General features: G+C 41.5%; 1 protein-coding gene across 7 annotated transcripts in view, besides 1 other annotated feature; it reads left to right on the top strand.

The window, feature by feature from the left end:
• The window catches only part of GRM7 (glutamate metabotropic receptor 7), an 880,419-nt gene continuing 858,646 nt past the window's right edge, over window positions 1,326–23,098 (top strand). For 5 of the 7 annotated variants that reach the window (XR_001740135.3, NM_181874.3, NM_000844.4 and 2 more), the window contains exon 1: window positions 1,326–2,118. Coding sequence is in view for 6 of the 7 variants with exons in the window: in NM_181874.3 (NP_870989.1) it covers window positions 1,600–2,118 (519 nt within the window). In the remaining variant the exon portion in view is untranslated. Of the gene's footprint in view, window positions 2,119–2,878; window positions 3,213–23,098 lie in introns of those variants that run through there. The other 2 variants (XM_017006272.2, XM_017006273.2) reach the window with 1 other exon arrangement.
• Window positions 1,449–2,440: an enhancer, noted in NCBI's record as "H3K4me1 hESC enhancer chr3:6902925-6903916 (GRCh37/hg19 assembly coordinates)". NCBI's record gives its function as "activates a minimal SCP1, AML or CMV promoter by ChIP-STARR-seq in naive H9 embryonic stem cells {active_cell/tissue: H9 hESC(naive)}" and the evidence as "EXISTENCE:reporter gene assay evidence [ECO:0000049][PMID:30033119]".

A 23,098-nucleotide genomic window follows, 5' to 3' on the forward strand; every position in this document is an offset into this window, starting at 1 on the left:
GCCTTTTGACGTTTTCCCCCCTACGATGATGATAGGTTTCTTCGTTACATTGCCAACAAAAACAAAAAGTATAGTCTTGTTTCTGGTTTTCTCTCCGCCCTAAAATCTGTATAATATGATTTTGCTGCCCTCCAACAGAAAGCCTCAGGAAGAGATGGTTTAACCTCCTTAAGTCCGCTCCCATCCCCAAGGACAGACATTCACTTTCCTTGAATTGGAAGTAGAGCCACTTGTTGCTTTAATGGGCCAAATGCGGTCTGGACCTGCAGGAGGAGACGCCGCTCATAAAGAGCTTCTCAATTGCACTGCAACCTGTACTGGCATCCTGACTTTGCCCCCAAACCCCAGCCAGAGAAAGACAAAGAAAGGCATTCCCAATCAATGGGGACACTTGTGCCTGCCCCCTCTTTCTTCTTCCTGCCATCACCTCTTTCCTGCTCTTTCTTACTGGCAAAAACTGCCACCAGGTGCACCAGATGCATCTCTGGAAATAGGTAGGAGGGAGTCTTACACCTGTCAGTGCTAGAAAGTGCGCTCTGCGGAGTTCTCAGTTGTTCCCTCTCTGCAACGAAGTAAAAAGAAGGGATGCGTCCGAGGTTTTTGACACAGACATGCTGGGGAAACGCGTCAGTTCAAGGAGCTCTGACTCTAGTGACTACTGAAGACCAGTGATGCACTCCCATGCCTAGCATCTCCTCTTGACTTCTGTTTCCCTGCAGCCAAGCTCAGCTCCTGGCCCTGGAAACCCCTTTGGGTAAAGCGTCTTTAAGTCAAGAATCAGGCTCCTGTGTGCACGTGTGGCTTTCTTAGCAAAAAACTAGCACAGGCGGCTCAGGAGTAGAGTCTAGCTAGGGTCTTCCCGCGCCCCTCCCTCACTGGTTTCTCTGCCCCTGCCTCGCTTTCTCCCAGAGCTAAGAGCCTAGGCTCCGGACCTAGGGTTTGGGAGCAGTCAGCACGACGTCCTCGCCCCATCCCGCGGCTGATGACACCCGTGCCCAGAACGTGGGTGTGGGTAGGGAGGCTTCCACAGTGAGTTAGGGTCGAGAGCTAGGCTCTCGCTTGCTCCCCGCAATCCCTAGATTCCCTGGGGACCACGAAACTCCCATTCCGAGGAAACCTCCCCCCATTCCCCAGCCGCCCACCCGTTTCCCCCCCTTACCTCAGCACGCAGCCCCTCCCTGCGTGATGATGCAAACCAGTGGGGAGGGCTGGCGCTGGGAAGGGTGGGGAGAGAAGGAGAGCCAGCGAGGGAGGGAGGGAGTGGGAGGAGGAGGAGAGGGAGCCGAACGACCATTTAAAGCGATAGCAGTCCCTGCCCTCTCCCCAGTGCTGGGCTGTTGGAGAGAGCGAGCAGCAAGCCGGTGAGCGCGAGCGCGGCGCGCCGGCCGGCTAACCCGAGAGCGCGAGGCGCCCCAGGCTGGCAGGCGCCGCGGGACCCCTCACCCTCTCTGGTCGCCCCTCCCCGGATTCCCCCACCCTCCGTGCCTGCAGGAGCCCCTGGGCTTTCCCGGAGGAGCTCGCCCTGAAGGGCCCGGACCTCGGCGAGCCCACCACCGTTCCCTCCAGCGCCGCCGCCGCCACCGCAGCAGCCGGAGCAGCATGGTCCAGCTGAGGAAGCTGCTCCGCGTCCTGACTTTGATGAAGTTCCCCTGCTGCGTGCTGGAGGTGCTCCTGTGCGCGCTGGCGGCGGCGGCGCGCGGCCAGGAGATGTACGCCCCGCACTCAATCCGGATCGAGGGGGACGTCACCCTCGGGGGGCTGTTCCCCGTGCACGCCAAGGGTCCCAGCGGAGTGCCCTGCGGCGACATCAAGAGGGAAAACGGGATCCACAGGCTGGAAGCGATGCTCTACGCCCTGGACCAGATCAACAGTGATCCCAACCTACTGCCCAACGTGACGCTGGGCGCGCGGATCCTGGACACTTGTTCCAGGGACACTTACGCGCTCGAACAGTCGCTTACTTTCGTCCAGGCGCTCATCCAGAAGGACACCTCCGACGTGCGCTGCACCAACGGCGAACCGCCGGTTTTCGTCAAGCCGGAGAAAGTAGTTGGAGTGATTGGGGCTTCGGGGAGTTCGGTCTCCATCATGGTAGCCAACATCCTGAGGCTCTTCCAGGTAGGGATGCGCTCCCTCCGGGGCGGAGCACACAGTGGCTACCTGCGCCCTTAACCCTAAAAGCTGGCTTGGACTCCGGTGGTGCGGGTCAGGTCAGCCTTCGCTCATTTCCTCCCTGGAGATCCTGCCGAATCCCTCCCACCCCGCTCGAGGAGATACCTTCCCTGCTTGGTTTATTTCCCTTCCATCTCTCCCCTGTCCACGCTCCACTCCATCCGGCTTGACATCTGGATTTATGGCCCCATTTACAAGAAGCAATCTGCGAAAAACAAGGCGATGATTTAAATGGGTTTGCATTAGGGTGAAATATGGTCCGAAAACAGGCTCGTAAAAGTGCCAGGCTCCTAGGAGAGCTGGTTAGGAGAATGGAATAGGAAAGATGAGACGATGCCTGGAAACCGGGCATTTCCCAACTCCCCAGCTTCCCACCCCCAAGCCAGCCTGCCAACCTGCACTCCCTTGAAAAATTTGGAGACAGCCTTAAGGAGGCACTTCTTAAATCGAGGGCTCCGTCTTAACCTAGATGTGGATGTTAAGTCCGCATCTCCCTCGGGCTGATTTCCCGACCTGTAGCCAGCCTCCGCGAGAGCCCAGGGCGCGAGGTGCTGGGACCTTCCTCAGGTGGAGAGATGCTGCCCGCAGACGTGACCCCCGGTTGGTTTGCTCCGGGCAATATTTTGCACCGTCTAAATTACATGTGCGATCCGGCCACTGGCCGGAGCTGGGCGATCAGCTTTCCACTCCTGCCACTTCAGACCTCAGCCCAGGGATGAGCTCACGCGAAACGAAATCGCTCTCCCTGCCTCCTCCCTCCTCCCCCCCGCCCCCCTCACCCACTATCTCCCTGACGCAGACCCCAAGCCAAATCCTCGGCTTGGAGGACGATTCCCGGAGCGAGGCATGAAGGCGCCCGTTGGGAGGCAGAGGGGTGCGTGAAGCGGGGCCCCGTGGTCCTCCTGCTCCGGTGCCGGAGGGAGACGGAGAAAAAATGGGAGGAAGGCGGATCCGGGGCCGCTGAGCGGTGGGTTCTGCCGCAGTGTTCTCTCGCCTCCTGCTCCAGCAGCCTCTGCCCCATGGCTCCTGAGCTGCACTGGGTAGGAATGAGTGGCTTTGGGGTTTGGAAATTGAGTTTCAGGGTCTCTGTGATTGTAGGTTCCCTCCTCTGTGTCTTTCCCTATATGTGCATCACTCTCTCTTTCTGTCTCTGTCTCCTTGCTGTTTTTTTTTTCTCTCTGTTTTTTCTCTCCTTTTCAATCTCTCCCTCCTTTCCTCCTCTGTCTTCACTCCCAAGTTCTTGGTTCATCTCCGTATTAAAATGACCCTTTTCCAGTGCATAGCGGCTCTCTCCCTGGCTGGTGGTACCCAAACCTAGTTAATCTCTTCCGCAGATGTACACGCTGATCCTGGCACCTTTATGCTCCTCATATCTAGAGAACCGGCCCCTCTCAAGTGCTTTCCCAAAAGGTGTTGGGCTTCAGAAGGGGACTCTGTGAGACCCAGGCTGTCATCACATCACCTCCAGGAGTGTGAAGTTTGCATTCAGGAAAGAGGAGTGCCCATCCAAGGCTGCAGCTTGCATGGCCCCTCTGATCCTCTGAGCATCTCTGACACTTCCTGAGTGCCATCATGGAAATCCTGGCAGGTCTGCAAACCCAAAAGTGCTTCGGGGCTAGCCATCACTCTGAGTTCCTTGCTTTTGGGAAGAACCTGGCTTGTAGCTGAAACCCAGAGCCCTTCCTTCATCTTTGAGCTTAAAGCTAGACAAGTTGAGGTAGCAGTGCAGCGGGAGAGGATGAGGTCAGAGACATTACCTGAGAACCACTGGGGGCTGGGGTAGGTTACAGTGTTTTCCCTGTTAGCCTGTGGGGTTAAAGGCACAAAACGTTTTGTGTTTAGTATTTTAAAATTATTTTGCCTGTTTCTTCACTCACCCTGGGCAGTACTGCGGATCAGCCTGTCTCTGTCTGAAAAAAGAGTGAAATGTTAAAGTCAAGAAAGGGGTTACAGACTAGGCTGAGGGACTGTGTTTGCTGAAAAATATTCCAGGGGGAGCTGATTCCTTCTCTGGTGTGTGAACCTGAGGCAACTTGCTAGTGGTGAAAAAAGGGGTGGGGGGCTGGCCTGACACTAATTTCTCCATTCCCTGAGCTGAGGAGAAAGTAACCCAATGTTAGCGTTAGCGTTATGGCTGGGGAGTAAAACCATTCAGAGAAAACACTGTCATTTTCCTCTAATTTGCAAATTGCAGCTATTCATGTTGGATTGAATAGCTGAGGGAAAAAGAGCCCCTAGTTTTCACCTGCGTTTATGGAGAAGAGGCTGGTAGTCTGAGGAATGCACCAACTTGTAGCTTGGGATGCATGCAAGCTAGATAAAACAGTTGGTTTGTATGTGTCCTGGTTAATCACTGCCCATGTTGGAATATGTGTTTCATATACCAACAATCTCTTCCAGTAGCCCTTTTTGCGTGTGATCTTAGACGCTCCTGTCATGTAATTCCAGTCCCCAGGTTTCCAGTGTCTATAAGCCTGCAAAATGAGTAGAGAGAATAATGGTATACACACCCATTGTTCAAAGGCACACTTAGAGGGAGAGAAAAAGGATATAGTGAATCTTGTCGGGGATTTCTAGGTTCAGTTCAATTAAGATTGTCCTACATAAAAGAAACTCCTCCAAATGATTGAATTTCTAGCTTTCCAGTGATTTGAGTTTTCTTTTTCCTCTGTTCCCTGCAGGTTGCTTTAGGGACCATGCCAAACCGATCACTTGAGATATACGTTTATAGTGAGATAAGACTGTAGGCTAGAAGAAGGAATACTTAGCGACTTAAATGGGGGGTGCTGAGCACTGAAGGGAAGGAGGGAGAAATGAGATGGTAACAGATGTAACAAATGCTGCTGCCCCCAGCAAAGTCAGGAATGAAATTCCTTCCTGGAAATTTGGACCTGGGCAAGAATGACTCCTCAGATGTAAATAGTGTCTATGACTTTGAATTTTCATTTGACTGCTGGTGTACCAGATTGAAGACATAAGCTTAGCAAGTCCTCTTTCTCTCCTCTCTTTACACACTGAGTGGGTTAGTACGATGACATGTCTGAGGACAGGAATCATATTCAGTGGGTCTTCAAATCAATCCAGGAATTTGAGGCTAATGAAATTAGTGTGTGGCCAGGGCTCTGCCAACTAGAATTAAATCACTGCAACTGCCCTGCAATGCATTTTCAGCCTCAAAGAAACATCAGGGAGGAATTTCTGGAGATTTGTTCCTAAGCTTGCGCAAAATAATACTCTCCTAATGCTAAGAAAGATTAAACGTAAATTAATATTGACTATAAGTAACATATTTAAAAAAAATCATCACAGAGTTGGGATGGCTGGAAGTAGAGAGGTTATATAATACGGTGACCAATGGATAAATCTCCTCTGACCACTGTCTTATGGGCAATAAGTAAGGTATATTACAGTGGAAAGTCATGGGAACATTTTCATTCAAACCCTCTCCATTATTGACTTGAGAGCAAACACTCCCAGAGTATAAATTACCCTTGCTACATTCTGACTCTGAATGAATAATATTTCCTGTGTAGTGACATGCTCTACACTATAGACTTGGAATTGAATGGCATCTGATTCAGGTGGATTTTTTTTTTTTTTTCCTCCCAAAGCAAGTAGATGGAAAAAGCGGTCAACTCTACCCTTGTCGGAGCATAATGCAAATCTAAGTCTGTGGACCTTGTATCATAAATGAAATGCTTTAGTAAATGTGTCAATGTTTTCCTTCTGTTAATTGAAACTTGAATGTAATATCAAACTTTTGGGATAATATTTTATACAGAAATACCTAGATTTTTTTTTCTTTTCTCTCTCTCCATCGTAATCCGATAGAGCTGAGCACATAGGGTGGTGTGGTATTACTACGGTGGTGAAATTTATTAGAAAGGCAACTTTAACCTACACTTTTTATAATTTAATAAGTATAGGTGTCACTGCCATTTGGAATAGTCTCTATAACAATCTCTGCCTCCACATTTACTGTGTTTTAGGAAATTTACCTAACAGATGGTGAGTGGGAAATTTTTAAAGGGGCATTTTTAAAAAGAGCAGAGGGAAGGAATGAAGACATGCACATATTATATTTGAAGACATCTCCATGTGTATTTCGTGTATACATACCCATGCAATTAAGATGTCTTTGGGCATTTTTCTCTTTAAGAATAATTGAAACAATGAATGCATTTACTTCAACTTCATGAACATTTGGAGATTAACAAATTACAAGTGCTATATTTCTTACATATATACAGGTTATATCATAGATATAAAAGACCATACTTGGATTTTACAGTGTGTTTTAGTCTCAATCCTGCCATTAACTGGCTAAGTTACCCTAAATAAATCTCTTAATTTTTCTAGGCTTCATTTGCCTTATCTGCTTTTTTTTTTTTCTTTAAAAATGTAGTTTCTAAAAGTCTGTAATCTTTTTTGTTTAGCTTGGAAAAAACTTTGTCTTGTCAAAACTGTCTTTGCATTTCCAGCTCCCACTTTTGGTGAGTTTGTGGGAACTTTTAAAATATATTTTCACACAGCTCTCTTGGTCATTACTAGTCAAGTTAATTTCCTGTATTCAGACTGCTTTTGTATTATCTTACAATTTACTTCTCAATCATATATATCAAGGCTACTGGTAGGGAAAATGATCTCTCAGGTCAGCTTACTGAATGATCATAAGACACAAGGCAGGGAGTGAGAACTGTGGAATTTACAGTGGCAGCAAGCTATAGCTTTCGTATCTCCATGTAGTATTCCCATTCATCTTGCAAAAATATCAGACTTTTCTCTCCCAAAACTGAGAAATGATGACATCCTGCCTATCTTCCTGGCCCCAGGGATGAGGTACGTGGCCAGGTCAAATGAAGCAGGTGATTGGTTCCTTTGTAATCGTTTGACCTCATCCAGGCCAATTAGAATCTTCCCCAAGATGTTTCTCTCAGAGATAAATGGGAACACTATCTCCTCTCTCTGGAATTTTTAAGCTAGGGAGATGTGATTCTGGGGCTCCCAGTGGCCATCCAACACAAGGAGAGACTTTCTGTAGCATATAGTCAAGTAGATGTGAGTAGGGCTGAGTGGTGGGAGAGAGGGGAGCCCTGCTGATATTCTGGAACTCCTACATTCAACTATATCTGAATCTAGATATGTCTGTGAGTTTCTAGGACGTGTTATTTTTTGAAACACATTTCTTTTTACTATTTTGAGTTTGATTTTAGCCATGTGCAGTGGAAAGCATTATAGCAAAAGCAGCTGATTTTCTGCATTAATGTAAGGTTCACTAACTGGCATTCATTCAGTGAAAAATCAGGCTGTAGATAACACTTTCTTTACTTTAAACATAATTCTTTTAGCCCAGCTTCGGGACATTCAAGACTCGATGTCCTTCTCTTCCCAACATTTACTGTAATTGATTTCAGCCTTTGTGATCACATCTTCCCTATCTCGATGCAGTTGAGAGGGAAGACAGACACTTCTGATGTAAACTGCAGGATGTATAGGCCTCCTATCTGAAAGCTTTGGAACCACACTTGGTTCCTTTCATTAAAGCAAATCTTTTGTTGATATCCCCAGGGCACAGAAACATTTTCATGGTATAATGGAATACAAAGTACATTAAACTCCTGGGTCACTCTACAGTAAGCAACAAGCCTAACTCTGCTTCTTGTCCCCTTTTACATTAAGTAGACAATTAAAAACAGCTGCAAACATATTTCCCAACCACTAAAATGCATATATGATCTCTATGTAAAATGATATTTATGCAACATATAGTCTGACTGGTTAATTAATGGACCTTTTGTGAATTGACACAGTCAATATATATGTTTTCTGCACATAAAAAATCAAAACAATAAAACCTATGTACAGGTAAATATCTGTCTGAAAGAGTGTTGAGTCAACCTTCTTCACATTATATTTCCATGTTTGACAAGTAACCTGCTTTCAACTATATTTACAACTAAATGTTTTTTGAATCACATTATTAGATTACAAAATCAAAAATCAAATATATGAATTTCAATGATATAGGATATATGTCACATTTTATGCAAACCGACTTTCTAATCTTTTTTCAATAAAAGTAGTAGTAACCATAATAATAATTTGAGTCCTTACCATAAGCCACTGTGCCACGTGCTAAAAGTACTTCATTTCATTTAATTCTCACAGTAGTCCTGCAATGTACATATTCTCATCCCATTGTTCAGCTCAGGAAAGTGATTCTCATAGCCCAAAGTCACATAGCTGGTAAGTGGCAAAGTCTGGATTCAAACTTGTCAGATTTGTCTGACAACAAACCACTACGTATACTGCTCAGTTGTTGCACAAATGCATAAATGCTTAAAGTAATTGCAGATTTTCCTATCCTGAATTTATAGTGGTTTAAAGACATCACAGTTGCTGATTGCTTAAGCGTATCTATTTACAGAAATATATGTTTTATTTTAATCCTACAACAAGATTAATTTTGTAGGCCCATAGAAACTTGAGCACACAAACCCTTACCTCCAAATGAAAAATGCTTGTTCTCCCTTATACAACAAGTAGCCCCGTATGCAGGAAATAAATATACAGTAGACTTTTCATTCAAATAAATGAGAAAAGATGTTTCATCTTGTCTTGATTCAGTACCCACCATTATGGATTATGATGGCTCTTTCTAAACTTCATTTCGTTCACTCCACCCTTTCTACAAACCTCAAGTAGGGAAATCCATCATTCAGATATATGTGCAAAGTGAGAGGACTGTTTTAATACAATTGCTGAAAGTCAAGTTGATAGAGCACAGGAAGTACATCCTAATAAATGCAACATTAATGTTTGTGTGGGCCGTGGAGGGAAGGGTAGGAGAGTTTTCAGTTTAATGGGTTATTTTGCCTCTTGCTGTAAAAGAGCTGCAGCTTAATAGTTTTATAATTGGTCATTTGCAGAATTCTCCATCTTTGGGTGTTGTGCTTTTGTCATTCCACGGCTGCTGACTTTCTTTTATTCTTGATGGAAAGTAGCAAGAAAGTCACTTAAAGGGCTCAGTGTAGTCTTCTACATTATTGTTTAAATAAAAATATTTCCATTTTTAAAGGGCTCTTTAAACATTTTTATTATGTTTTAAACTTGACTGTGTTCTGAAGGGGTTAGCTCATGCAGACATCAGGGGGAAGGTTTCCCAGGAGAAAACACACTCTATCAAAGGAATTATCAGAATTTCCATGTAGGGGTTAAGAATCAAATTCTGGAGCAAGACAGGCCTGGATTTAAATCCACACACTCCACTTACTGCCTGTCTGACGTTGATCAAAAAGGTACCACACCTTTCACCAATTTTCTTATCTTTGGAATGGGTATAATAAAAATGTACCTGTCTGATAGAGTAATTGCAAGGATTGCATGAAGTATGCATGGAAATATTTTGCCACTGAGATTAGCATGTTTAATACATTTAAAAGCTATGTTAAAGTTATCAGATGGACATTAAGTGTCAATATTGCTTAATTAATCATTATTGCTAATTTTGAATTTTGCTGTTTAATTACCATAGTAGTTATGCTGGATTACACTCTTCTCTGTTTCTTCTGCTGAATTGAAAATTTACATACATATGTATAATTTACATCTATCTATCTGTCTATCTATCTATCTATCTATGGAGACAGAGAGAGAGAAAGAGCAAAAGAGAGAACAGTGAGACAGATAGAAGGAGAGAGAGAGTGAGAGATAACACACACACACGTGCACAGAGAGAACATTTTAGTGACGTTACTCAGTGGAATGAAACTTTTTATGGAACTGATTAAAGGAAATAATGAATTCCATGGACTTAAGATAACAGCAAGGCTAAGAGCAGTGGAAGTCTGGCAGCCTTGAGCTTGAATTCCATTGTGGACCCTTTCTACCTGCAGAGCTTTGGGAAAGTTACACTTTTATAAGCTTTACTCCTTCTTTCCTTATCTTTGTTTTTTCCTAGAAATACTTATTAAACACCTTCCATGTGCGCTTTTCTAAATGCTTGGACACATCAGTAAAAAAGTAAAAGCTCTCTCTCTCCTTCTCCTTTCCTCTTCTTTTTTTTTTCTTTTTGCTTCTCCCTCTCTTCTCTCCCTTCTCCACTCTCTCCTCCCTCCTCTCTCTCTCAGCTTACATTCTCATGTGTGAAAACAGATGGATGTTATAAATACATCCTATGGATGTTACAAGTTGGTGAACATTATGGGATAAGGAAAAGAATGTGGAACTTGCTGAAGATGGTCGGGTTGGTAGTGCTAGGGGCTATAAGTGTGGTCTCTACTTTTAAGTAGGGTAATAGCGTAGATTTGATGAGGTGACAATTGAGCAAAGACTTGAAGCAAGGGAGTTGGCATAGTGGATTTAGGGGAAGACCACTCCCTGGGAGTAGGAATGACCAGTGCCAAAACTCCAAGCAAAAATGGGCCTGGCATGTTAGAAGAATATTGTAGAGGCCATTGTGGCTGAGTAGAGTCAATGAGGAGGAAGGAACAGCAGGAGGTCTTGAGGTCAGAGATGTGACGGGGCTAGTTCATGCAAGGCCATCGCAGGCATTTTGTCATTTACTCTAAATGTTGGCAGCCAGTGGTAGGATTTTAGCAGAGGTATGAGATGAGCTGTCTCTTGTTCTAAAAGGACAATGCTCTGTGGTATTGAGGGTAAGGGCAAAGAGTAGTATCTGGGAGAACAGAGAAGAGGCATTTCCAGGTAAGATCGATGGTTTGGTGGCTTGAGCTTCTAAGAAGGGATACGTTTTGAAGGTTGAAACAGGATTTCCAGGCAGATAGAATGTGGGATGTGAAAGAAAGAACAGGATCAAGACCCCTTAACCCAAGATTTTGGGCCTGGGCAACTGGAAAGTTGAGATTATTATCATCTGAAATTGAAAAGATTCAATTGGGGTGGAACAGGGTTAGGGGTTAAGGATCAGTTTTGGAGACAGAAGGTTCCAGAAGTCTGTAGGTCCGAAGAAAGATCTGAACTAGAGATACATTGTGTAAAATGGAGACATTAAGAATAATTATCCGAAAGCGTTATTTTAAAGATTGAATGAGGAAGTGGAATTAGCACTGTAGGTTCTCAAAACACTTAGTAATTAGTGAAAAATAATTATCTGAAATGAAAGAAAATCCTGTAGTTTGTTTCTGCAGTAAAACTGAACAAAACAGTATCTCATTATTTTAATAACATTTGTGACACAATTATTCTGGTCAGACACCATAACTATAAACATTTAGAGGAAGCATTTCAGTTTCCTATGTTTCTCCCTGATGTTATAATTGCAACCATATTTTGTAAGGTTTAAATTAGTTGGATAGGGTGGCTCTTTAATGACAATCAATTCTGAGCTACTTAGTTAATGCAATAATATACTATTTATTATTATTATTTTATGTTCTTCATTAAACTTAGTTGAAAATTTGTCATCACTGATACGCATGATGAAATTTAGGTAGTTACCCAGGTGTTTAAGAAAAAAATAAGGGGCTTATCTTAAAATATGCCTATGCATACTTACTTTCAACAATTTCACCAGGCATTTCATGTATTTCCTTGACTTTTTAAATTAAAAATATGACGGGAAATTTTATCTCGTAGGTTGTCATCTCCGTTTAGGTATTTGAAAACCATTAAACAGATTTTGTGGCTTAACCAAAATTCTGTTCCATTTTCATTTGGCTACCAGATATTGGTCCAAGCATGTACTTACAATAAAAATGCATGACCATGTTGTCTCAACACATCTATGATTTTATTTTAACACTATCATTATGTAAGCTATATTTTAATTGTAATTATAACACATTTTATATCAACACACATACATTTCTAGTGTTCAGGGGGAAAGCAGCGTGTAGTAAATTTTATCAAAATATAGCTTCTGAAGAACGGAACAGAGGGTAATTGTGTAATTCTGTATTTACCATAATTAAGTTCAGTAGAGTTGGCATAATAAAATTAAGATTAAAAAAAATCCCCAAACCATTGAGGCATCCTAGCTCCCTCTCCTCCACTCCTTTCCACATCAGAGAACACATAGTTAGCATCTTTCTGTATAGAAATCAAGAAAAAACAGGCAAGTAAATGAATGACAGGCATGAGAAGAGTATGGAAAGAGACATGGAAAGGAAATGTTACTTTTGGATTTGGGAGGTATGAAAGATCCACTAGTTTGTATGCCTACTGGGACCACAATTTCTGAAACAGTTAAGCTAAAGGTCAAAAATGCTGTCCCGCCATCCTTATGAGGAGGGACATACTTATATGCTAATCATTGCACCCTGTTTCATTGAGAAGATTATCACAAAAACTCTATTATATGAGGCAAAGTACATTGTTTTTAAATGATTGCCATTTCCTCAACTGCCACTCTCCAAGCTTGCATGCTCCATTTCTCTCTCTCTTACTCTCAGTCTTGCTCTTTGTTTGCCTTGATCTCACTCTCTCTCTTTCATGGATTATTTCAGTCTGGAGTGCAAGGATGGCTTACGGGAGAAGATCGTTGTATTTTTTTTAATTTTACTTTAAGTGCTGGGATACATGTACAGACGTGCAGGTTTGTTACATAGGTATACATGTGCCATGGTGGTTTGCTGCACCCATCAACTCTTCATCTACATTAGGTATTTCTCCTAATGCTATCCCTCCCTTAGCCCCCCCAACCCCCGACAGGCCCCGGTGTGTGATGTTCCCCTCCCTGTGTCCATATGTTCTTGTTGTTCAACTCCCACTTATGAGTGAGAACATGTGGTGTTTGGTTTCCTGTTCCTGTGTTAGTTTGCTGAGAATGATGGTTTCCAGCTTCATCCATGTCCCTACAAAGGACATGAACGCATCCATTTTTATGGCTGCATAGTATTCCATAGTGTATATGTGCCACATTTTCTTTATCCAGGCTATCATTGATGGGCATTTGGGTTGTTCCAAGTCTTTGCTATTCTGAGCAGTGCTGCAATAAACATATGTGTGCATATGTCTTTACAGTAGAATGATTTATAATCCTCTGGGTATATACCCAGTAATGGGATTGCTGGGTCAAATGGTATTTCTGGTTCTAGATCCCTGAGGAATCACCACACTGTCTTCCACAATGGTTGAACTAATTTTCACTCCCACCAACATTTTTTTGGGATGACGGAGTCTTGCTCTGTCACGCCCTGGAGTGCAGTGGCGCGATCTCGGCTCACTGCAACTTCCACCTCCCAGGTTCAAGCGATTCTCCCGCCTCAGTCTCCTGAGTAGCTGGGATTACAGGCACCCACCACCAGGCCTGGCTAATTTTTTGTATTTTTAGTGGAGACAGGGTTTCACCATACTGGCCAGGCTGGTCCCGAACTCCTGACCTCAGGTGATCCTTTGGTCTTGGCCTCCCAAAGTGTTGGGATTACGGGCGTGAGCCACCTTGGCCAGCCAGTAATTTTTGTATATAAATATATATACAGTATAGCATAGTGGTTAAGAGTACAGGTGCTGAACATAGTTCAGATTCCTGCTTTCCACTTGCTAACCATGTGAGCTTCAGCAATTTACCTGATTATCAGGGTCTCACTATCCCCAATGGTGAAATAATGTTAACAATAGATCCGTCTGCATAGGCCTGTTTTCAGTGTTAAATGAGGTTCTTCATGGCAAGCACTTAATACAATGCCTACCACACAGTGAGGTCTATTATTTATTATTAATAGTATTAGCGTCAGTATTTTCAGCATGCCAGGTACTGTCTTTCCTAGCCTTATTCCATTATCCCCTAACTCCAGTTCCTGTCATGCACCCTGTATAAGGGCAGGGTTGTCACAGAGCTTTTGCCTATGGTGGTATCTGACCCCTAGTCATCTCTGAGGCTGGGCCAGTTCCTGGCATTTATTGTTGCCCATTGAAACAATCCCTGGTTGAAGAAGGGAAGTTGGATGTTAAGGCAAAGCAGGGTGAAAGAGAGATTGTTTCATCTCTTCTTCACCTAGGGGATTGAGTGAAATATTCATACATCAGAAGGATAATCAGGCAATGGGCAAAATGCTTAATTATATAGTTTAGTAATTGAGACCAAGCCAGGCAGACTGAATTTTAACTCCTTTCCAGCACATACTGACGGGGAACTTAGGTGTTTATTGTAACCTCTCTAAGCCTGTGTCTACCTCTGAAAGAAAGAAATAATAATATTAGGATGTACTGCATACTGTTGTTGTGAAGAATGAATGACTAGATCCTTCTAAAGCACTAGGCACATTGTTTGGCATATAGCAAGTGCTCAATAAAGGTTAGTTGCCATAACTGCTTATAATAACTCATTATCAGTAAGTAGCTGAACAACTCCGAGATCCTTCCTTTTCTTAAATTGCACATGATCTTTGGGACAACCAGTTTACATTTATCAAGTGTCGTTTATATGAAAAGCCTCAGGAGCCCAGAAGTCTTTAAACTGTACCCCCAGTCAGAGCCAGCTCCGGGCAGGCCACATCAATACCACCACTACCACCATCATCATTGCCATCCTTACTGATCAACTGGTCATATTCAGTACTTTCTGTGTGCCAGATACCAAGCTTATCCCTATATATGGATTACATCATTTTCTTCTCCCACTCGGGTAGGAAAAATTCTTATCATTTTACTGATAAAGACACTGAGGTGTTGAAAGGATAAGCAACTTGACCATTAGTGAGAGAGACGGAGCTAGGATATTCAAGCCCCTGTCTCTCTGACTTCATGAACCCTTGAATGTTATTATACTATATCCTGGTAAGAAATTTTTCTTTCAGCCACTCCTGTGAGAGTAGAGAAGCTTCTTGATTTCCATATCTTTCTATTCCCTATGACACCCTAGCCTCAGTACTAGGAGGTAGTGAAGGGGACCTCTTCAAAGACCATTCAAGGAAAACTTACTCCTTTCAGCCTTTCCTGAATCAACTAATATTTTATTTCCTTCTTAAGAATCCCCACATGTTCCTTTCTGTTAGTTACCTTGACCTCTTAGTATTCTTACATTCTACACATGACTCATCCACTCTATTTAAAGTTAATTTATTTGAGGTCAAGTGTGGGGTCTTACTCATCCTGAGGTAGAATTATCCTCTATAGCATCTAACTCTATGCTTTTCATCTGGCAGGACTTCTGCAAATATTTATTTCAGTTTTGTTGAATTGTGCTTATCAACAGTACATTAAAAGTTATGCAGAAAATGCTTTCTCATAAGGGAAACATTCTAACTAAAATTGTAGCTATTTTTTTAAATAGGATTATCACAGAGGTCTTGGTTCTGCACTTTTTTTTTTTTTAGATTATTTCATATTACCTTATTTTAACATGTGTTGATAAGCCTGATGATATGGTTTGGCTGTGTCCGCAACATCCAACTCTCACCTTGAATTGTAATAATCCCCATGTGCTGAGGGCGGGGCCAGGTAGAGGTAAATTGAATCATGGGGGTGGTTTCCCCCATACTGTTCTCTTGGTAGAGAATAAGTCTCACGAGATCTGATGGTTTTATAAACGAGAGTTCCCCTGCACAAGCTCTCTTGCCTGCTGTCATGTAAGGTGTAGCTTTGCTCTTCATTCGCCTTCTGCCATGATTGTGAGGCCTCCCCAGCCGTGTGGAACTGTGAGTCAATTAAACCTCTTTTCTTTATAAATTACCCAGTCTTGGGTATGTCTTTATTAGCAGTGTGAGAACAGACCAATCACCTGAGTTTTCTTTATCAAGCCTACACATTTTTACCTGCTTATAACTTAGCTTATTGATTATGTCGTTGACTTATCCATTTACAAAAATATTATTTGATCATGCCAGGGGTGAAGTAGGGTGGGGAGGTGCATCTTAGAACCATAAATTGGTTTTCTAGAAAAGTAACATAAAGAACTGGAGTTCTCTCATATTTTTGCAGAACTCATTAATTGTTATATTTTTATAATTTTATTCATTCTTACTTACAGACTATCTTAAAAGGGTTTAATCTCAATTTGTTCATCTTTCTCTACTCAGTCTTGATGGGAAGCTGGTAGGTTGAATGGAAGAAAGTTATGGCATGGCCGGGCGTAGTGGCTCACGCGTGTAACCATAGCACTTTGGGAAGCCAAGGCAGGTGGATCACCTGAGGTCAGGAGTTCAAAACCAGCCTGGCCAACATGGTGAAACCCCATCTCTACCAAAAATATAAAAATTATCCGGGCATGGCGGCGGGTACCTGCGATCCCAGTTACTCGGGAGGCTGAGGCACAAGAATCGCTTGAACCCGGGAGGCAGCGGTAGCAATGAGCCGAGATCGCACCACTGCACTCCAATCTGGGTGACAGAGCGAGGCTCCATCTCAAAAAAAAAAAAAATTATTATGGCATGAATCAAGGGCCACTGGGTAGGAGTCAGGGCCTTGGGCTTTCCTGTTTGTTTGCTTCTCCCCAGTTAATATTAGCTAATGCCTTGAGTGCTTGCTGGGTGTAAGAAACTTTGCTGGCTGTGGCAAATGGATTGTTTCATCCAAGTTTTTTGAGAGTCATACAGTGAGAATGTATGTTATTATGACCCCCATAGTGCACACATGGAGCAGAGCTTTGAAGTGCCTATATACTCATGTTAAAATATGATGATGGTAGAGCTTGAACTCAGGTCAATGTGACTGATAAGTCAGAGGTTTTTACCACTAATTTTTTTTTTTTTTTTTTTTGAGAAGGTGTCTCGCTGTATCGCCCAGGCTGGAATGCAGTGGCACCATCTCGGCTCACTGCAACCTCCGCCTCCTGGGTTCAGACGATTCTCTTGCCTCAGCCACTGGAGAAGCTGGGATTATAGGCACCCGTCACCACGCCCAGCTAATTTTTGTATTTTTAATAGAGACGGGGTTTCACTATATTGGCCAGGCTGGTCTCAAACTCCTGACCTCAGATGATCCACCTGCTTCAGCCTTCCAAAGTGCTGAGATTACAGGCATGAGCCACCAACCCCGGCCTACCACTAAATTGAAGTTGTGTAACCCTACGAAGGTGACACAATTTTAAGTAGCTTCTATAATTTCCTCAGCTCTTTTTGTAATGAAGTCTTTGTCTGATTGCAAGCTTACAGGAGGTGAGGAGTGTGTGGAGGAATTTCAGCCAATTGAATGGAATTTTCCTTAATATGGATGGAGGGCTGTTTTATGACATTAATAAATAAATCCATTCATTCAAAATATATTGAGTATCTACTATGTGCAAAGGCATTTCTCAGCACTTGCATCATGTTAGTGAGCTTCTCTTTTTTAAACTTCCCACAGCAGGCAGAGAAGTCTGGTACTGGTTTGCCTGCTATACGGAGGGGTTTGATGCAGGGAGCCTAGCTGATTCCACAGTGTCAAAACCAAGACAAACTCACATTAATTCATAGGCACCTTGACGCCAGGATACAGCAGCACACTTGGATCTTACTATTGTTGACTGGGATTGATGATAAAATAGCTTTGGATTTGTTATGAAAAGTGGGTATGTTCATGGACTTCATGGTTCTATATAGATATGTAGACACATCATGTGTCATCAACCTGCAGCTACCTGCCATCCCCTGCTACTCCTGCTTTTACATGCCAAGCAAGGGCCTTCTCATCTCGCTTATGGATAAGCTTTTAACAGTGGCAATGGGGCCTAGCATCACCTAGTAACCATATCACTGGCTAAACCAGTGGTTTTTCAAATTCGCTCTTTGATAGGCCCATGAGGTAGATTGACATTCCGCTTGTATGAGTAGAAAATGGTGTTCGTTTATAATTCATCGGGAAGAAAATAGGCCACTGGATATAATTTCCTCAATTAAAAAATTTTCATATAGATGGACATGAAAAATTTTAAATTGAGGATATATATACACATATACCTACACAGATATCACACACACACACACACACACACACACACACACACACACACACATATGACTTCTGCTAGTAAATTACAAATGAAATTGTTAGTAGCTCTGTATACACATAAGCAGGAAAGTAGCTGATCAGATTTAACTCAATAACTTACTTTTTTTTTTTTTTACAGATCTGTGGTTACAACTCTATCTACAGATATATTTGCTGAAGAAAATATTTCTTCCACCTTCCACAGCAAAATTCCATTCATTTAAGACCAATACAGCATGTCCCAAATGTCTTAGTCCAGTTTTAATCTTTAATAGCTTCAGAAGTGTGAAATTACAAACATGCCCCCCAAAAATCATTTGAAAGTTTAATTATTTAAATTTCTCTTTGTATTTACATTTGTGGATTTTGAAAAATCAATATTTAATTGTACTTTGTTTGTTGCTGTCCTTCTGATTGAAGATGGCAAACATTGACTTAAAGACCAAAAAGTTGTAACTAAATATGTATTATTCAAAATTATCAAAACTAAATAAGTGACCAAGAAATTCAAATGATTAGACTTTCAAAGGGTGATTTTTTATGTGTTTGCGTGTGTGTGTGTGTGTGTGTGTGTGTGTGTGTGTGTGTAGTATTTTTTCTTCTGAAGAAACTGATCTTGAAACTCTACTAAGATTTTAGGGACATCTAGTTTAATGAGCAAATGCTTTGTGTCTGGGACTGCAGCATGCACTAGATATTTAAGAGATTAACATAAAATAATAATAATAATACAAAAACAACAACACATCCTCTCAGACATGGAAGAAAATTCCACTTGAGAAATGGACCAATACATCACGCACTAATAAAATAGCAAAGGCTCTCAAACATCAATGTGCTGAAGAATCACATGGCAAGCATGCCAAGCAGGCAAGTTCCAGGGCCCCTTCTCCAGGTGTAAGGCTCTAGAAACTATATTTTTCTTGAATGCTCTCAGGAGATTCTGAGATTGGTGTTTTCAATTGCCCTCAAACTTAAGTCTGCATCAGATCTGCCTGAAAGTTTGTTAAAACACACATTGTTGGGCTCCACCCTCAGAGTTTCTGGATTACTAGATTTGCATTTCTAACCAGTTCCCAGGTGCTGCTATCACTGGTCCAATGACCACACTTTAAAAACCCATTGCTTACAGAAAATACCTTCAGTATAGGATGTGTGTTTCATGAAAGATGAGTTTACAGAGACCCATAGGAGTGCAAAGGGCCTCTACCCTAAATTGGCCAAAGGTAGTCTAAAAACTAGCTAGATTTTTATTGAACCAAGCAAGATTATAAGAACTTTAATTGAACTACCTCATTTAATATTTTCAATAAGATACGTAAGTCCTACTTAATGTCCCCAATTTACAGATAAATTAATTTACCCAAGTCATACAACCAGTAAGTAGTAGATTAAAAATTCAAATCTAGAAAGTCTGATTCCAGAGCCCACACACTTTTATACTTATATTATTTTCAATTGACAAATTATAATTGTATTACATTTATAGAATACAGTGTGATGTTTTTGATATATGAACATAGTGGAGTGATTAGATCAAGGGAATCACACTTACTTGACGTTGTTTTGTGGCGATACATTTGAAATTTATTCTCTTATTTTGAAAGATATAACACACTACACCCTTACCTGTTCTGTTTTACTTATTTTGCTTAATCATTCTGCTTATATACAGGGGTAAAATGTTGTCAGCCCAGGCTTTCTGGAGGAACTGACCTCTGAGTGTAATTTTTAGAAAGATGAGTGGACATAAAAATATTACCATTTTTTAAAAGATGTTGTGAATAGTATCAGGACTTCTAAAAGAGCCAGACCTCACCACACAGTTACCTCAAGCAAATCTGATGATTAATAGTCTAGAATAGGAGGATAACTATGGGATGCTAGGAAGAATTCTGGGAACCTGAGGTTAGAATTCAGTATCGATTTATAATGAGTTTACCTGCAATAATAGAACCTGAATAAGAGTTACTTACCTAACTTTCCTCATGTAACAGTTTGGAGATTGTTTTTATGTTAATTCAGCCACTAAGTGGTATCCATGAGGGACTAGGTTCTCTTATCTTCCTGTCCCCTCACCTCTGGTGTGTCACTGTGTTACAAGAGAGTTGCAAGACGGCTACTGAATCTGCAGCTGCATTCCCAATGTTTAACCCAGAAGAAAGAACATTTAAAAGGGGATGTGGAGCAAAGAAAGTATTTACCAAAACTCATCATCAGACTCTCACTTAGATCTCGTTAGCTAGGGCTTTAAACTGGCCACCTTAGTTTTGAGGATATTAGGGATTTGGCAATCAGGGTTTTGATAGCAGGGAATGAGGGGAGAATGGGTAATTAATCAGATGGCTCACAGAGTCTGCACAGACTTCATTCCCAGTCTCCCCGACAAAGAACCCCAAATTCTACTTTATTTTATGCATTTTACCTTGAATAGTGGGGAAAAATTACTTATCTGTAAATAGCCTCCTACAAAGGGTGCAATTACATAATTATACAACCCCCTAGAGAGCCTCTTTCTTCTAAAAACTCTTTGAAAAATGTTCAAGGTTGAGGATATTTTGATCTTAATTTAGTAACTTGCAGTTGATTATCCTGGAATGACATTCTCTTTCTCTGCAGATGTCCTGGCGGGCTTTAGAAACTTCTGGAAGAAGTGGACAGAGAATTCTTATGGTTCACATATAAACAATATGAATCTTTTGGAAGAAAAATTCATTTAGGGACCAAAAGCCCCTTTATATCTGATTTTTTTTCCCTCTCACCAAATTTTCACAAATTTTCCTTTCCAAAATGCCTTTGAGCAAATCTGTTTGATATCACCCCATCCACTTCTCCTGTCTGAATTCTTTATTACTAAGAATCCTTCAGCATTCCATCTCTCACTCGTCTTTGTCAAAAGCATTTCTCAGTGTCTTTATTCCTTCTCGTCTCGTATTTGGACTCATCTCTCAAACTGAAAAAGGAGATGGCTATGGTTTCTCCAGAAGCTTGGAGAACTTCCCTTTGCAAAAAAAGGTAGCGATGTTAATTAACTTGAAAGGTAAGCAATGTGTGTAATGCTTCTAATAATTTATTAAAAGTTTATTATAATCAGTATGTTATTATAATTTATTATAAGTTTATCTCTCAGTTACTCTGTAGTTCAGTTTGGACTTCACTGGCTTAGCAATCAGTTTTCTGCTCAGTGATTCAAGAGCCTACCGTTTCAATTATATGCCTGTACATTGTCTCAAAAAGGAAAGGAGACAGGAAATTGCAAGCTCAATTATAAACTCATTATTCCTCAAATACACATTCTTTTTTTCTTTTAATTTTTATTTTTAGTTCTGGGGTACATGTGCAGGATGTGCAGGTTTGTTACATGGGTAAATGTGTGCCATGGTGGTTTGCTGCACTATCAACCCATTACATAGGTATTAAGCCCAGCATGCATTTTCTATGTTTCCTAATGCTCTCCCTTCCCTCACTCCACCCCCCAACAGTCTCCAGTGTGTGTTGTTCCCCTCCCTGTGTCCATGTGTTCTCATTGTTCAGCTCCCATTTATAAGTGAGAACATGCGGTGTTTGGTTTTCTGTTTCTGCATTAGTTTGCTGAGGATAATGTCTTCCAGCTTTATCCACGTCCCTGCAAAGGACATTATATCATTCATTTTATGGCTGCATAATATTCCATGGTTTATATGTACCACATTTTCTTTATCCAGTCTATTGTTGATGGGCATTTGGTCTAATACCCACAATCTACAAGGAACTCAAACAAATTTTAAAGAAAAAAAAAACCTCATTAAAAATGGGCAAAGGACATGAACAGATACTTCTCAAAAGAAGACATTCATGCAGCAAACAAGCATGAAAAAAAACTCAACATCACTGATCATTAGAGAAATGCAAATCAAATATACATTCTTATAAAATTTCTGGTAGCGTTCTGTGGGCCAGTAAGCAGTAATGTGGCCACACTCAGATGCATAGACATGGGGAATACTATCCTAAGCCTTATCTCAACACTGCTACAATCTGGAGGGGCTAAAAATGTTTAGTCAATAGGTGTTCATTTCTGCCACAATGATCGATTAGTCTAAGGCAATTGAATTGTGTGTGTGTGTGTGTGTGTGTGTGTGTGTGTATTAGTATGAGCTGAAACTTGTGGAAGTCCACCTTAAAAATATAGATAAATCCAACTGTGGTTCACTGTTATCTTTCCTGGTTGCAGTTGATTACTGTTTTCCTTCATCCTCTACCTCTCATCCACCTTAGTATCAGTGTGGTAAAAACTGAAAGAAATTATTCCAAGATCTCCAATTCTTTGAAAGGTATAGCATACCTAGACCCTAACAGTTTTACTCTGTACAACTTTTACCAATTCCAAATGATGAATTTGTGGAAAATTAATGCAGAAAAAAAGGCTGATTTTCTTTTGTACAAATACTCTGAGCCATGTTGCAGGGTAATTGGAAAATTCGGGAAATCTAAAGCTTCTTGTTGAAAATTAAAATACTTTTAATTATAAAAGTAGCATAAACTCATTGTGGAAACTACAAAAATTAAAAAGGCATAAAGAAAAAGTATAAGCCAGGCATGGTAGCATTAGCTTTTAGTCCCAGCTACTCCAGAGCCTAAGGCTGCATGTTTGCTTGAGCCCAGGAGTTCCAGGCTGCCATGGGCTATAGTTGCACCACTGCCCCCCGGCCTGGACAACACAGCAAGACCTTGTTTCCCAAAAAAAAAATAAAAAGTATAAATAACTTAAAATCCCATTATCCCATTTCCAATAAATGATCTTCATAACATTCTTGAGATATTTTTGTTTGTGGGGGTACACACAGGCACAATGCAAGCAAATATATAATACTTTTAATTATTAGACCAAACTATAAAAATGTTTTGTATCTTTTTTGCTTATTAGTATATAATGAGCATGATTCCATGTCATTTAATAAGGCTATATCACAAACTTAAATAGCTCAGCAGCATTTCATTATTTACGTAGCCAGTTTCCTGCCACTCAAAATTTAGGTTTACCTCTCTCTTTTCTTTGGTACTACAGAAAAATGAGAAA

This window comes from Homo sapiens, chromosome 3 (genome assembly GCF_000001405.40).
Source record: "Homo sapiens chromosome 3, GRCh38.p14 Primary Assembly".
Lineage (NCBI taxonomy): Eukaryota > Metazoa > Chordata > Mammalia > Primates > Hominidae > Homo > Homo sapiens.